This window comes from Homo sapiens, chromosome 4, assembly GCF_000001405.40.
Source record: "Homo sapiens chromosome 4, GRCh38.p14 Primary Assembly".
Classification (NCBI taxonomy): Eukaryota; Metazoa; Chordata; class Mammalia; order Primates; family Hominidae; genus Homo; species Homo sapiens.
The window spans coordinates 99588909-99606206 of NC_000004.12; the positions used below are offsets into that span (position 1 = coordinate 99588909).

General features: G+C 34.5%; 1 protein-coding gene across 3 annotated transcripts in view; it reads left to right on the forward strand.

Moving 5' to 3' along the window:
- MTTP (microsomal triglyceride transfer protein) overlaps positions 1–17298 on the forward strand; it is a 59868-nt gene that overhangs the window by 24779 nt on the left and 17791 nt on the right. For all 3 annotated transcript variants that reach the window (NM_000253.4, NM_001300785.2, NM_001386140.1), the window contains 7 exons: positions 735–842; positions 2327–2443; positions 2743–2882; positions 5825–5975; positions 8159–8316; positions 11657–11825; positions 12699–12806. In NM_000253.4, the coding sequence (NP_000244.2) occupies positions 735–842; positions 2327–2443; positions 2743–2882; positions 5825–5975; positions 8159–8316; positions 11657–11825; positions 12699–12806 (951 nt within the window). The remainder of the gene's footprint in view (positions 1–734; positions 843–2326; positions 2444–2742; positions 2883–5824; positions 5976–8158; positions 8317–11656; positions 11826–12698; positions 12807–17298) is intronic.

The following is a 17298-nucleotide window of genomic DNA, read 5'->3' on the forward strand; positions in this document are numbered from 1 at the left end:
ATGTTCATATATATACACACATATATATATGTTCATATATATACACACATATATATGTTCATATATATACACACATATATATATGTTCATATATATACACACATATATATGTTCATATATATACACACATATATATGTTCATATATATATTCATATATATATATATTTTTTTTTTACCCAATACCAATATAAATGCTCTGGAGGGTGGAAAACATTGCCCCTGTGAAATGTTGACCATGGGTATTATGGCCATGCCTGGGGCCTTGCAATAGCCCATAAAGGCTGTGCCATCTCAGGAATCTCAAAGGTAGTGATTGCCATTTTCGTCCAAGAACTTTTTTATTTGCTATTATTTTAAACCTTAGTTATTTTTTGTTTCAAGTACAGTTACAGGTAGAGAACATGCTGACATGTTCAAACAGAATGTTCATCATTTCTCTTCCCTGGGCCATCCTTGTTTTCATGAGGCTCCCAGCCTATATCAGTGCTCTCTCCCAATGCTGTGCCCATCATGCAAGAGCCTTCATTATCGGTCTCCCTAAACTTCATATTCTGATGGTCTCAGAGATTTAAATAGCTTCTTTTCACAAAAAGGAAATTCCAGATTTGGAGTGTCAGATCTCTTTCTCCCAGGATTAATACAGGTAAGAATCTGACCTTGCCTGACACTTATTTAAATCTGATAAATGATGCATTTTTGCTTCATTTGTGTTCTGTTCCCCTCTCCCCACCAGGTCAAAGAGTTCTACTCATATCAAAATGAGGCAGTGGCCATAGAAAATATCAAGAGAGGTCTGGCTAGCCTATTTCAGACACAGTTAAGCTCTGGAACCACCAATGAGGTACTTACCAATATTAATAAGGATTCAGCATCTCAATAAAATTTGTAAGGATTTCTACTTATACAATTTCAGTAGAAGAGTTACTACTAAGGTAATGCTCAGAAAAGGTGACTTGTGTAGTGAAGTCGCATTTGCCTATGAAACAATTGCCATTTATCCCAATGTTTTGTTAATTAATTACAAGGTAGAGAGGATTAGAAATATTTATACTAAAGGAGCTTCGTGGGGATCATTCCAGTGGTTCCCAGATATCACTGTGCACCACTGTACCATGGAGGGGCTTGTTACAAATATAGATTCCCTATATTCATCCCAGAGATTCTGATTCAGTAGATCGGGGAGGACCCGAACGTCTTTTTTTTTGAGATGGAGTCTCACTCTGTGGCCCAGGCTGGAGTGCAATGGCGCAATCTCGGCTCACTGCAACCTCTGCCTCCCAGGTTCAAGCGATTCTCCTGCCTCAGCCTCCCAAGTAGCTGGGATTACAGGCGTGTGCCACCATGCCCGGCTTGTATTTTTAGTAGAGACAGGGTTTCACCATGTTGGCCAGGCTGGTCTTGAACTCCTGACCTCAGATGATCCACCCGCCTTGGCCTCCCAAAGTGCTGGGATTACAAGCATGAGCCACCGCGCTTGGTCAAACATCTGTATTTTAACAGTCTTTGTGGATTATTTGGATGCATTGTCAATGTAGGGAACCACTGGTCTATACCAACACTGTTCATTTTGCAAAAGAAGAAACTAGAGAAGTTAGGTGGATCTTCCAGTATCATACCTGGAGTCAAGGCTGGAGTCCAAGTTTCTTAGACTGAATTCAACCAGCCCATGAGTGGGTGAAAAATCTGATGGTAGGGTTGGACCAAAAGAATGTTGGTTAGCTTGCTAGAAAAGAGACCTCTGCTTCTGTGATGCTGGCAGAGGCCCCAGGAAAAAGCTCAGAGAAGCTAGACAGAGTCTGTATTGGGATACATTTGCCTAAACTCAAACTGATGATGTAGCTAATGATGATTTGAGTTAATCCCAGTGGATTTTAATTAATCCCACAGGATTTTAAGAATTTCTAATCATGTTCAGCTAGTTGAAGTTACACACACACACACACACACACACACACCACACACACACAGAATCTAGATACAGCATTAACAATCAACTCCCTTGCCACAGAATTACCCATTTATCCAAAGTTTCAATTATTACCAGGCCATTTGTCTAATTTTAATTGGATTTCGAGAGAAGTAGGAAATCCCACATTATTTGTGAAAAAAAATGAGAAGGCGCTATTAAGACACTCAACCAAAGAGAATGGGAGGGAATCAATGAGCTACCAGAAACCTTGTTCTTGTCTTTGTATCTTATCATCCTGGGGGAGAAAAAAAGTCCCCTATGGCCTATTAGAGACCTCAATTTTCAAGCCACTTCTCACTAGAATTCAAATGGCCCACAAGGAATCCCAAGCATTATGCCCTTGCCTTTCTTTTTAGGTAGATATCTCTGGAAATTGTAAAGTGACCTACCAGGCTCATCAAGACAAAGTGATCAAAATTAAGGCCTTGGATTCATGCAAAATAGCGAGGTCTGGATTTACGACCCCAAATCAGGTATGATAGATGTCACTTTCTTTGAGGCATTAAAATAATTACATTTTGTAGAGACTAATTTAATGTAATAGAAAAATAAAGTAGAAATAGAATTTTGAAACATTTGTAATTTTTAGTTTAGGCTACAAATTCACACATATGTAATGAATAGACCCATTTCAATTGTTGTAGGTGTTAGTAATGAGGGATGGGTGTAATGGGGAAGCTGTTTGTAGACTGAAAGACAGTTTGCTATTTGACTTGATTCAATAATTTAAACGATGATTACTTGTTATAAAGATGGCTATTTATTTATTTAGGTCTTGGGTGTCAGTTCAAAAGCTACATCTGTCACCACCTATAAGATAGAAGACAGCTTTGTTATAGCTGTGCTTGCTGAAGAAACACACAATTTTGGACTGAATTTCCTACAAACCATTAAGGGGAAAATAGTATCGAAGTAAGATAATGCTAAAATTTTTATTTTCTTTGCTATTCTTTGTTATATTATTATACTTGATTTGTAAATAGATCTGTGTTTGTGTGTGTGTGTGTGTGCGCGTGTAGTCATGCATTGCTTAACAATGGGAATAAGTTCTGAGAAAAGCATTGTTAGGCAATTTCATCACTGTGCAAACATCATAGAGTATACATACACAAACCTAGATGGCATAGCCTACACTACATTATATGGTATAGCCTATTGCTCCTAGGCTACAAACCTGTATAGCATGTTGCTGTACTGCATACTGTAGACAATTAAACACAATGGTAAGTTTTTGTGTATCTAGACATAGAAAAAGTCAGCAGAAAAATACAGTATAAAAGATACTATGTAGGTGTACCTTTATTCATAAAAGGTACATAAGTGAAATTTGCAGGGCTGAAAGTTGCTCTGGATGAATCACCAAATGAGCACTGAGTGAATGTCATAGACTAGGACGTTACTGTACACTACTGTAGACTTTATAAACACTGTACACTTATGCTACGCTGAATTTCTAAAAAACTTTTTTCCTCCATCATAAATTAACCTTAGCTTACTGTAATATTTTTACGTTAAAAACTTTTTAATTTTTGTTAACTTTTGAAGTACTCTGTAATAACACATAGTTTAAAACACATTGTATAGGTGTACAAAAAATATTTTTTCTTTAAATCTTTATAAGCTTTTTTCTATTTTTAAATTTTTTATTTTTATTTTTTTCTTTTAAAAATTTCTGGTTAAAAATTAAGACATAAGCATATATATTAGCCTCGGCCTACACAAGGTCAGGATCATCAATATCACTGTCTTCCTCCAGTGGAAGGCACTTACAACCTCCAAATGTTGTCTCACTGAAAGGTCTTCAGGTGCAATAACATACATAGAACTGTCACTTCCTCTGATAACAATGCCTTCTTCTGGAATACCTCCTGAAGAACCTGCCTGAGGCTGTCTTACAGTTAATTTTTTTAATAAGTAGAAGAAGTACACTGTAAAATAATAATAAAATGTGTGGTATAATAAACACAGAAATCAGTAATAATCATTTGTCACCATTATCAAGTATTATGTATTGTACGTAACTGCACGTGCTATACTTTTATATAACAGTAGCACAGTAGGTGTGTTAACCACCAGCATCGACAAAAACACGTGAGTAATGCTTTGCACTGTGATGATAGGACAGCTATGATGTCACTAGGCAAGAGGAATGTTTCAGCTTCATAATTTTATGGGACCACCTTTGTACATGGGTCCATCATTGACCAAAATGTCCTTGTGCAGCACATGACTGTATTTATTGTGCTTCCTCATTTCAACTGTGAGCTCCTTGAAAATAGTGATTATATCTTGTTCATCTTTATTTTTTACATCATCTACAACAATTCACGGCACATGGTAAATAATTACTTTTTAAATAAAATTGTATTAAAAATCAATTATTTATTGAACAGGTTTTAAGTTTTAAAAAGACAAACTACTTGATTCATTCTAGTTCATTTTCTAATTTCTCTGTCAAATGTTTTTAATATTAAGGTAAAAAAGTGGTAGCATTTGTAATTTTTAAGAGTTTTTAAAAAAAATTGTTGTTAAAAAACATAAAAAGTTCCGTAGTGAAGAGATGTGACAAAATTTTTGATATGACTTATGCAACTTAAATATTTAGGCCTGTTTATCATTTGAAGACCATTCTCTGGACAGAATTGTTCTAACAGGATTAAGAACTAGAATGTTAAATCTTAGAGTTTCTGTTATTTTCAGATTTTAATTCAGAAAACAATGTTTTCTAGCAGTGAATGTGTTATACCTTATGCCATTGCTTCTCAAAAAATTTCTCTGGAGTAGCTGTAATATTAGCACCAAATAGATGCAAAATAGTAGTAAAAATGCCTGATTAAAATGCTTGAAATTTTATAGAAGTCTCATCTGGAATAGAATTTTGCATTCTACTTCATATACTACTGGTATATCTATAGTGTTTTATTATATTTTCATATAAAATAAATATTTTAAATAACTTATCAGGCCTATGAGATTTCCATTGCTATGTAACAACCCCAGATTTAGTGGTATAAAATGCAACAATCACTGTACTGTTCTCTGTCATAATTTACAGGCTTGCCTTGGCCTTGCTAGGCATCTATTATGTAGTTTCAGACAGTCAAACTATTCAAAGGTGGTTCCCCCATGTATCTGGTGCATGGGCTGGAAAGACTCAAACATCTGAGGCTCCTCATGCAACTATCTTTATTTCCCTGTCGCCTCTCAGCACTGCAGCTTCATGTCAGACTTCTTATGTAGTAGCTCAAGGCTCCGAAGCACATGTACTGATAGTGTGCCAGAGAAAAGCTGAATTCTCTTTTAAGACATAGCCTTAGAGATCACACAGTGTTACTTTCAGTCTCCTCTATTAGTTGAGGCAGTCACAGAGTCCTACCCAGGTTCAAGGAGAGGGATGTAGACCCTACCTTTTGATGACAGACAGGTTCTGGAAGAGCATGTCAGACAAAAATAGAGTTGAGACTATTTTTGGAAAATAAGATTTTCTAGCTGTCTTGGTTAATAAGTAACACGTGGTTGTATTGACGATATCATTTTCAGAAAGCTGGGCTAAATTCAAAAGAGCTGACATTGCATATCTTATTCATCATCCAGGCAATTTTTCTTCCCTGTATACTGTTGAAATAATATTTTGAAAATGCAAACTTAAATTTTCAAATCTTTTAATATAATTGTTGCTCCAGAAAGACTTCATAATGAGCTTTCAGTTACCTCTGGAGATATCACAGTTTGAAAGACATGGCTATATACAACTTGAATAAATTACTATCTTGTTTGCCAAAAGAATGGCAATTAGTATCTTGTTCACTCAAAAGAATGATTATAATATAGCATTTCCCTTTGGTATTATGCAGGCAGAAATTAGAGCTGAAGACAACCGAAGCAGGCCCAAGATTGATGTCTGGAAAGCAGGCTGCAGCCATAATCAAAGCAGTTGATTCAAAGTACACGGCCATTCCCATTGTGGGGCAGGTCTTCCAGAGCCACTGTAAAGGATGTCCTTCTGTAAGTGCAGACAAATATGGGAATAATCATGACATCAGACTCTGTTTTCATTTTGTCTCCAGTGAAAGCATCAACTCATTCAATGAAGACAGTTTCTAAAGAACTACCAGCTACCACAGAGTTGTGATGACAGCAGTCTCACAATATGCACCTGACATAGTGCATGACACATCAATAATTAACAAATAGTTACCATTCATTCCTCTCAAAAAGTGTTATAACTCAAGGGCAGCCTTTAATAAGTCACATCTAGAATTCAGGGAGGATAGAGGGCTTAATGAAGTTAGGGGGAAGCATATGGTGTCAAGAATGTGGACAACGGCTGAACCTTGAAAGTTCTGTCACATAATAGTTATTTGTCCACAGGTGACATACTTTACTGGCCTCAGTGTTCTGATTATTGCTGCAAGGACTGAAAAAGGATACCAGGATCTTTGCCTAAATTAGGAAACATTTATTTACCCCAGTTTCCCCTACAATTCCTGTCAGAAATGCGATATCTCATCCCCAGGGCAAAGTGTAGATCATTGTAACATTTTTAATCCAACAAAGAAAATTTTCCTTTTATTGCATGAATCAGTTATGATATACATTCAGAGAAATGACTTACCACCCAGCATTTCCTTATCTGTAATCTCTTGTCAGAAGAGCAAACCATTGGCTTCATGCTCTGTGTGTAACTATAGGGAGATGCTCTTTCCTTCAGTATTACTGGTGTTCAGAAAAGTGAAATCATCAAGATGTAATACCATAATTTGCTTAAAGTACAAGACAGTAATTGCTTATTAGTTTCTGAAATTGAGTTAGAGGAAAAAGGAAACATTTTAAAACACAAAATCATCATTTTCAAACATTGTTTCTTCTTTTACCTGTTTTTTTTTTCATATGTCATTTAATGTTCTAATGTAATTTTCTAATGCTGTATGAGATGGAAATTATTTAGGAAGGTGGCTAATAAAACTAAACTTTTCTTATGCTCTGCACTATTAATTTCTCTCCCATAGATATTAAACATTATGAGCCATCTAAGATTTTTGATAATTATTTCTTAATTATTATAGAAAATGATTTATTTATGTTATTGAGGAATTTGCTTTTCCAAATTTGGAATTCCAAATTCCAAATTTGCTTTTGTAAATTCTATTGCAGCCCTTTAAAGTAAAACAAAAACAAAAACACCTGAATTCATATTGATATGCTCTCTGCCTTCAGAAATGACCCAGTAAATCTTTAGCTAAGTGCAGCTGGAATTTCACTTGGAATATCTTCTTAAGATTACATAGCTAAAAGGCACTTGAAAAAGAGAAAAAAAAGGATCCATTGCTTATTAAAAGTAATGAATAATTTAAAAACTGGCAGCAAGTTATTACTATAGAGTTAGAGAGTTAGTAGTCACTGATAGGATTTCATAAAACTAGGGGGGAAAGTAGTAAAGTATGAAAAATAAGTTCTTCAGTTAGTTTCAAAGCCGAGAGATGCTGTTAATTAGAACTATTTATTAGGTTGTTGCAAAAGTAATTGTGGTTTTTGCCATTACTTTTGTGACAACCTAATATTATTTTTAAAACCGCAATAGAATAACTTAGTGTGTGTGAGAATTACCTTTATCTAAATGCTACTCTAAAAAACATAGATATAAGAAATGAATAATTCAGACCTTAGCAACAGCAAAACATTGAATTTTGTACAAATAATAAAATAAAGAGAGAGAATAGGGAGCTCACCGAAAAATTGATTTTCAGTGAGGTGCAGGTAAATTAGAAACCTGATGCAATTCTTCAGCAGTTCTCATTATTTTATCTCTGAAATATTTTGCTGTTAATTAAAGTTCTGCACAATTTAAATTGCACTATGGTAGTCAAAGCCTGGCCTCGGATAAATTCCCTTGGTGTAGCCGTGAAATGACCTATATACCCAGAAACCAGTTAATTATTGCCCTAGGATCTTCAAGCTAAATATGAATAGACAAAAACAGTCCTCCTATAGAGGAATGGTTCACAGAGTGGATGGAAGTCCCAGGGGTATGATATGGGCAGGGAACTGTCATGTGTATTGAGGTAAGGTACAAAAAGCTGCTTTCGCTTCAGACACAAGGGACATTTTATTCCTAGGAGAACACCCTTTGTAAATGTGGATGTTCACAGTTATGAGTGGGGTATGAGCCTGCAGTGTATGTTTTGCAGCTCTCGGAGCTCTGGCGGTCCACCAGGAAATACCTGCAGCCTGACAACCTTTCCAAGGCTGAGGCTGTCAGAAACTTCCTGGCCTTCATTCAGCACCTCAGGACTGCGAAGAAAGAAGAGATCCTTCAAATACTAAAGATGGAAAATAAGGAAGTATTGTAAGTTCCCCAACCTTTGTGTGGGGTTGTCTGTCAGAAACATTTCTGGATTGTTGGTTTTTTGAAGTAAGAAAGACCCCTTTTAAACCAACTGCCCCACCACCAAAACAATTATTTTCTTGTACTACATTTTCATCGAAAAGTTATGCCACAGTGCAGTAATTTAATGGTCACTTGACCAGAAATACAATAGCAGATTTTCAGCAGGGACTAGGAATAAACATGTTGTTGTGTTTATGAGTTTAAATCAGGACTAGATTGGTACATAGATAAGTGAAGGCAAGGCTTCGTCGTGACATCGTGGGGCATGTGCTGCCTCGCTGTTTTTGAAATTATGTTCCTCATGCTGTTAATTGACACCTGAACAGATTTGAGTTCATTTAAAAGAAAACAACAAAAAGGGTTTGACTTCTTCAGTTGAAAATGTGATTTCACTAAACAGCCAGTTGAAACTATGTTTTATGTAAAAAATTGAGAACTGAGGCGAATGGTGAAAAGAATCTGGAGAAAATAAATCCATATGTTACTTAATATTTGGTGAAACTATGATCCATTTTACATGTGTAATAAACAGAGTTGACTTAATTTTTCCCCAAAACATTGCATCTGTTTCTAAATAGAATGTATTTTTAGTCTATCATACAGAATTTGTGTATATATACAAATTGAGCTTATGATACCAATTATCCTAATTGATGATATAGAACAAGGCCCAATTAATTTGACAAACAGTGAAAAACAGTCATTAACATAATCAAAAGTGGAAATTAGCCAAGTTACACACACACACACAGCAGTAGCAGTCACTGAGTTCAAAGAACTGAATTCCCCAACAGGAGGAAAATTGCAGCTTTTTTCTGAAAAGTCTGTTTATGCTCAATTGCATTTATTTACTTGCCTTAAGGACATTAAAAAATTGATAGGAATTCCAAATGACTAATCAAAGTTGGTTATTCTCTTCAAAAATAAATAAACCAGAAATTGAAAAAGAAGCAAAATCATAAATTATCAGGCTCTGTTTTAATTACAGCATGTTAAAATATATTGGTAGAGGGACTTGTCTTAACATTATTTTTTATATTTTTAAGATTCTTTAAAAATTTTACCACTCTCAAAGTACATAGGCATTGTCTTAACATTAAAGGCAGACATTACTGAGAATAAAAGTGGAATAATTAGGTATTAATTTAGAATAGAGATTACATTAAACCTTATTAGCATTATCTGTATCCTAAAAATCTTAAGGCAGCAATAATTTGGAGGACTGCATGATGTATTTTCTAAATCAGATTATTTATACAATATTGAACCATATAACATGCAACACACATGTAGTGTAGTGTAATAGAAAGGATACTAAGATGAACTAAAATTGGAAAATTTAGTTTAAATTCTGACCTCCAACAACAGTATATCCTTCAAGGAAGTCTTTTTTTTTTTTTTTTTTTTTTTTTTTTAGACAGTGTTTCGCTCTTGTTGCCCAGGCTGGAGTGCAATGGCGCAATCTTGGCTCACCACAACCTCCACCTTCAGGGTTCAAGCAATTATCCTGCCTCAGCCTCCCGAATAGCTGGGATTACAGGCATGTGCCACCACACCCGGCTAATTCTGTATTTTTAGTAGAGATGGGGTTTTTCCATGTTGGTCAGGCTGGTCTCAAACTCCTGACCTCAGGTGATCCACCCGCCTCGGCCTCCCAAAGTGCTGGGATTACAGGCGTGAGCCACCGCACATGGCCAAGGAAGTCTTTTATATTTAGCTTCTCTGAGCCTCACTTTCAACATCTGTAAAATAGGGATAATAATTCTTTCTATTTATTGTAGGCTAGTGAGAGGCAGGGTGGTGGAATGTAACATTTCCCAAAAAGCCTATATGTTGTATCCTGTAATTTGCAGGAAGTTAACAGGTATGCAAAAAGGAAAAGATTCTGTGAGCAACTGAGTTTGCAAAACTGGATGAAACCTTGTTAATTTCTCTGTTGCAGAACTTTTCAGTATCTTTAATCAGATAATATTCTGGTAAGTTTTGAATATTTTCTAAAACACATGATCTTGAAAATCCCTTTTCTTAAAGCATTTTGTAAGACTAGTGTTAACATGGAAAACACTTTGAGAAACATCACTATAATTAAGAAACCATGGACTCCAGAGTCAGAAAAACCTAGGTTTCAATCCCAGCAATGCCATTTACCATTTACCAGCTATATGACCTTGAACAAATGACTAGGTATATCTGCGTCTGTTTCCTAGCATGTACAGGGGAATATTAATATTAAACTGACAGAGATGTTCAGTGGATTAAATGAGGTGGTAGTATTAGTAACAGCTAATATTTATCAATCACTTACTATATGTCAAGCACTCTTCTGAATGTTTTACAGAGATAACATAATTTAATCCTCCCAACAATCCTGAGGTAAATACTACTTTGGCTTCATTTTACAGATGAAGAACTTAGAGATTAGACACATAAAATTTTTAGTACAGTGCTTGCACAATATAAACTCAATAAGTATTATGTCTTCTAGTTATCTAAGCTTAATTCACTAGTTTTTTGTTATGATCAAAATAGTACAAGTATATCATTTTTTAAAAGTATAAACTACTAAGCACATGTCACATTGTCTGGTGTGCTTATATAGGGGTAGTATGTAATATTTACATACATGTGTTAATTAGTATGACAACTATTTTTAGAAGTTTTACCATCCCGGGCTCAAAAAGCCAAAGATTTTTGATGACTAGAATATATAACTAGAGTTTTCCTGTAGGGGTTCCATTCTGTTCACACATATTCATTGTGGTTAAACATAGAACTATACTATGGTGTGTTTTTATTTTTAAAAAGAGGAAAACCTTTCCCCTTGGATTTAAGGTTAAAGGATTTTCCATCAAATAATACTGCTTTAGTTCAATTAGGCACTTCTGAAATAGGTTTGTTTGCAAAGCTAATTAAAGAAAGAGAATAAATTTGGGGACCCATAGCTTTTATGTATTACTCATATAGGAAAGAATTTGAACTTAATTTATAATTGTATTTATATAATTTTTACTTACAAATCGCCAAATTATACTTGGCTTAGGTTAATATAGTAAAATTAGTTTGTATATTCTGAGTATACATTGTTTGAGTGAGAGAGAGGGGCGTTCAAGGAGAAAATTAAAATAAAATGGGGAGGGGTCTTTTTGAGAAAGTCTTAATCATTTTTTCATTTGTTCAAATTAAAAAAAAAATCACTTCTTGAGAAAACTCAAACCAATAGAAACTCTGTGAATGGTAGAGATTTTTAAGTATTCCTTCCCCTAAACATTGATATCCATGATTATGCCTTTTTTTATAGACCTCAGCTGGTGGATGCTGTCACCTCTGCTCAGACCTCAGACTCATTAGAAGCCATTTTGGACTTTTTGGATTTCAAAAGTGACAGCAGCATTATCCTCCAGGAGAGGTTTCTCTATGCCTGTGGATTTGCTTCTCATCCCAATGAAGAACTCCTGAGAGCCCTCATTGTAAGTCAAATAGAAAATAAAGACCCTCAACTCCTATAAAACTTCTTAAGAATATTAACAGTAATTAAAAGTTTCTTAGATCTGAATGAAGGCTATCAACTAGAGACTTCTGAGTATTCATATTCAAATTGGGGTATTTTCTATCCACTAATTATTAACTGTATAATAAATTATTTCAGTTAGTGCCTTTTTCGTAATTTCAGTAAGTAGTATAAACTATATGGAAATTTAAAGATTGTGTTCACCTATCATGTTATATAGCATAGGACAGAATTTCAGAGGGGAGAAATCTAGCTTATGCTTCAGTAATCAATTTTACAAGATTTGTTTTGACTTCAAAAATTCTCATGATATTTAATACACCTACATTGAAGAGATACAATTCTTCTGCTGTTAAAGATTTATGTTGAAAACAAAAGCTAGACTTCTCTTGTGTCCAAGAATGTTATCTATTTAATTGCACTTGTCTACCTATGATCTAGTGGAATAGTTCATAATCTTTATGGAAAATGTACCCATTCAGAATCTGATAAAAGTGATGAGGCCCCTTTTTACTCATACATAAAATTTTATAACCCTCACCCCTCCTTTTTTTTTTTTTTTTTTTGTTCATTGACCCCATGAATCCAATCCATAAATTTCCAGGGTTAAGAATTCCCTGTACCACAGGTTAAAAATCCCTGAAAAGGGGATTAACTCTTCAATTCAAAGCTAGATAGCAAATGTGTAAGTGTCTCAAAAGCAAAATTCTGAGTTTGCAATCTAGAAACATAAAAATACTTTACCAAGTATGTGTTTATTTTTTAACTAAAAGTGTTCCTTGGAAATATTTAAATGTCTTGGTAACCTATTTTATCCCTGTTTGGTTAATAGAGTAAGTTCAAAGGTTCTATTGGTAGCAGTGACATCAGAGAAACTGTTATGATCATCACTGGGACACTTGTCAGAAAGTTGTGTCAGAATGAAGGCTGCAAACTCAAAGTAAGTGCAAATCCAATCTCATGTATTACATCATTCTACACCATTGTCCATTTGATACTCACCATGCTGCCTACTATTGGCACTCCTAATTCTCTTTACTCTATTCTACTTACCTTATTTGCATAGCAATTTTTGCCATCTAACATATATTAAAATTCAGTCATTTATTATGTTTATTGTATATTTCTATTTCACTAGAATGTAAGTTCCATGAAGAAATGGATCTCAGTTTTTTTCAACACCAATTGCTCACCAGTTCCCGGTACATAGATAATATTTAATAAAGACTTGCTAAAAAGTGAATAGTACAATAACCTCCCTACCCATATACTTTATTGAGTGCCCACTATGTACTCAGTTTTAAATGGTGTGTATGATATACTTCTTGTTTTCAGAGAAATATTAGACTCTAAGTCTATCTCCTAGAGTAGAACTTTGTATATAGTAAGTGTGGTTTCCAGTTTTAAGTTTTGATAGTAGAAATTTAGTTACTTTTAATCACAGAGAACTTTATATTTTATTTTCAATTTCATTTGCCTAAAGCTTTTCCACTTGCCTGAGTGGACTATCAATTTTCACGTCTTTCTTATTAAAAAGCAAAAAGCAAAAACACTTTTTAAGTATAACTAAATATGGAAAACCAAAATAGATTAATGTCTAACACAGTCCATCTTTCTATAATGCAAATAAAGATGCTAAATATATAACAACATAGTCTTTTTTTCTGTCCACATTATACAGCCAGTGTCCCATCAGCATTTTTTCTACCTCAGACAGCACTATATATCATTTTGCTTACTAAGTGCTTGCTATTAAAAATAGTAGGGAAAATGTTCTTGAAACCAAATGGTCCCAAAAGAGGCAAGCCAAAACTAGAATATACATTAAGTATGAAAAAGATCACTAAAAACAGTAGTACTGAAAAGGCTTGGGTATTAACTTATTAAGTTCTGGCAGAAATTAAATTTATTATTTTTATATTAGGGAAGCATGACTTCTTATATTTTTCAATTTCCATAATTATTTGAGTAGCTGATTTACTTCAGCTATTTGTGTATTAAATATCTTGGCAAAAGATAAAACCCACATATCAAAAGATCTATTCAGCAGTATTTAATGAGCATCTACTCTGTACTAGGCATGATGCTAGTCCTCAAATAAAAAGATAAATAAAATATTCTACCATCCTCAAAGAACTCCTAGTCTGTTTATCAAATATAAACAAATAAATAATATTGAAATATAAACAAAGTGCTCAGACAATACAGAAGATGCAGCAACGTTTTCTGTTTGAGTGTGCTCGAGAAGTTTCCACCAAAATAACAATTTTTGCACTTAATCTAGAAGAGGTTTTTAAGTGAAGAGGTCAAAGTATGGAATGAAAGACATTCTAGGAGACATACAATAATGTATGAAAAGGCCCAAAGTCAAAATAGGCCTGGTATGGTTGGGAACAGTGAGAAATTCTGTGGGGTTGGAACATAAAATATGTATGTTTCTGGGGGCAGATAAGTGACAGTGGAGACACAGGAAAGATGGGAAAAGAGATGGAAGGTGAGCCAGATCTTCATTAATAACAAGCTAAGGAGTCTGGCCTTCATTCCACAGAAAGAAGAGAACAGTGAAGTCTTTAGGCGGATGAATGACATACTCAGATTTTTTATTAAGAAAGAAGCAAGATGTTTTGTGGACTGATTGTTTAACTGGATTAGAGTTAGTGAGATCTGACTGGAAGCATTTGCAATAACCTAGGCAAGAATTAGTAAAGGTCTGAATTAATGTAGGGGCAGAGGGCTGAGAGGAGATACATTCAAGGGCCACTTTATTTAGTGACTGATAAGATGTGGAAAATGAGAAAGAGATAAGAATCCAGGTGACTCTAAAGCTTTCAGTTGAGGTTACCAGGTGTATGGTGATGCCGACCACTTAAGTAAGGTTTATACAGCCTGGTTGGGGGTGGGAGGAGAGTAGAGCTATTAGTTTGTTTTGGCCATGTTAAGTTCAAAATCCTTTGGGTCACCAGGCTCAGTTGTCCAACAGGCAGGTGTCCACATTCACCTGCAGCTCAGGAGAGAAGTTAGGGTCAGAAATAGAGAGTGGCTGAAACCTTCAAAGAGACTGGGGTTACCTAGGAAAGTCATGTAGCATAAGGAAACAGAACAAAGGATCAAATTTAAAGTTCTTCTGATAATGGACAGCCTGGTTCTCATCACATCTTTAAAATTACCTTGAAGGTAGCTGCAAACCATCTACTATCACTGGCATTCAATTTTGTTAATATTTTTGAGCAAACATTTTTTTTCATCTTTGAGGATAATAAGATTTGGCCATAGTGAATTTACTACAGAAGAACTGTAGTAAAGGTTCAGTTTTTCTTTTGAATTTTCTGCTGTGAAACACTCATCTACGTTTTGTCCAAATCAAAGATATATGAAAGAAAGGAAAGAAAATTATGTATTGTATTAAATAAGCACAAATTTAAGGTAGCTACTGGGCACACTATATGCATGCTGTGTAAAAGGAACCTGCCATTCTGTGTAGTTCTATAGCCTTTCAGAACTTACTAGGATAAAAGCTACAGTCCTGTGACAGTCTGAATGGCAGCTAGACAAGTGCACAACCAGTACTATGCCACATGTTTCTTTTTTATGTTTGTCTTTTGCTTATGTTTTGACCTCCCGGCATCCTAATTCCTTATTTTCACTGAATTTGTACTTGAAAAAATGTAAACCTACAGAAAAGTTGTAAGAATAGTACAATTCCATGAACACCCAGATATCTTTCATCTAGATTCATCAGTTGTTAACGTATTTTCATCTTTGCTTTATCTCTTTCTGTCTTATTTTAGTTGAATAATTTGATAATAAATTGCAGACATCTGACATTTTACCTCTAAATACTTTTACTTCTTATTACTTGAGTGCCATTGCAACTAGTCTCTTACAATGAAAAAAATACATGTATTTACCAAATTGTGAGTTCCCACTGCTATCTCTAATTCTAATTCTAATTCAACACTACAGGGTTATTTTTTCCCTCATTTCATCATTCTATTTTCCTTCTCCCACTGTGACAACTGTGGTTTTCGAGAACACCAATATATTGATTCACCTGCTCAATTCTAAAACATACACAATATATTTTTGGAATTGCCATACTGATATTACTACAGAAACAAACTAAATAAAGTTCAAGACTTTTACAGTTCTTTTTGTCCTTAGAATATATTCCATCGCATGTACACAAAGTTCTATGCTCAAAAGTTACTTGGATTAATTCTTTTTCATTCTCTTCTGTTTAGTCATATTATCAAGTTGATAGACATTTAGTTTCATTTGTTTCTGGTTAAACTGAATTTTGATAATTTTCCATCCTGTTGATTTAATTTTATTTCTTGAACATGTGAAATAGTAATGTGGTTCAAAAGGCAGAACTGTGTTTTAAAAGTATTAACAGAGAGGTCTCATCGCTTCTCGATGCTTTTCCCCCAATCTCACCTACTTCCTCTAGGTAAAAAAAATCACTCATTAAAAAAAATTTTTCTTTCTATGTTTCTTTTTGCAACAGTAAACAGATGTTCACACATTTACATACTTTTTTGCACAAAATATATCATTCTATACATACTCTTTTTGTATCTTACATTTTTCACTTAACAATATATCATGAAAATATTCCCTACATAGAGATCTTTTTCATTCCTTTTGACAACTGCCTAGTACTCCATTGTGTCTATGGACTATGTTTTATTTAATATCTCCTATGAATGGTCATGTAAGTGGCTTCCACTATTTTGCTGTTATAAATAATACTGAAGTGAATAATCTCAGGCACAGATTTTTGCTATTGTTGAGATGTAGCTTCAGGGATAGAGTTGCTGGTCAAAAAGCAGTTCTGTTTGTTTTTCTCACATTATCTTCCATAGGAATTGTACCATTTTAGGCTTTCATCAGCAATTTATGAAAAGGCCTATTTCCCCATAGTCTCACCTACAAAATATGTTAGCAAACTTTTGAATTTTTCACCAATTTGATAGTTGAGAAATGTCACTTCTCTGATTAAGTGTGATGTTTAGCATCTTTCCTTCTATTGGGAGCCTTTTGTTAATACTTCTCCACTCTTCCCCATATCATCCATTCTCCCCAACCCCATGTATGTGTGTGTGTGTGTGTGTATGTGTGTGTCTGTGTGTTTGTGTGTGCTTGTAGCCTAATTTCAGAGGTTATGAATCCTGTGGATGAATTAGATCTTAAAACCCTTTATTTTTAAAAAATTTTTCAGCCTAGACTCTGTCATACAAAGAATCTTTATTTTAAACATGAAACTGAAGCCTCTAAAACATATGTAGTGGCAAATATAAGACCAGAACCCAGATGTCCCTATTTCTAATTTGCTTTCCCATTAAACTATTAACTTACACTCAATCCCCCTTTTTCTCAGACTAGGACAAAAGGACTTTTCTGATTGTAGAACATATTTGAAAAGTACCTAG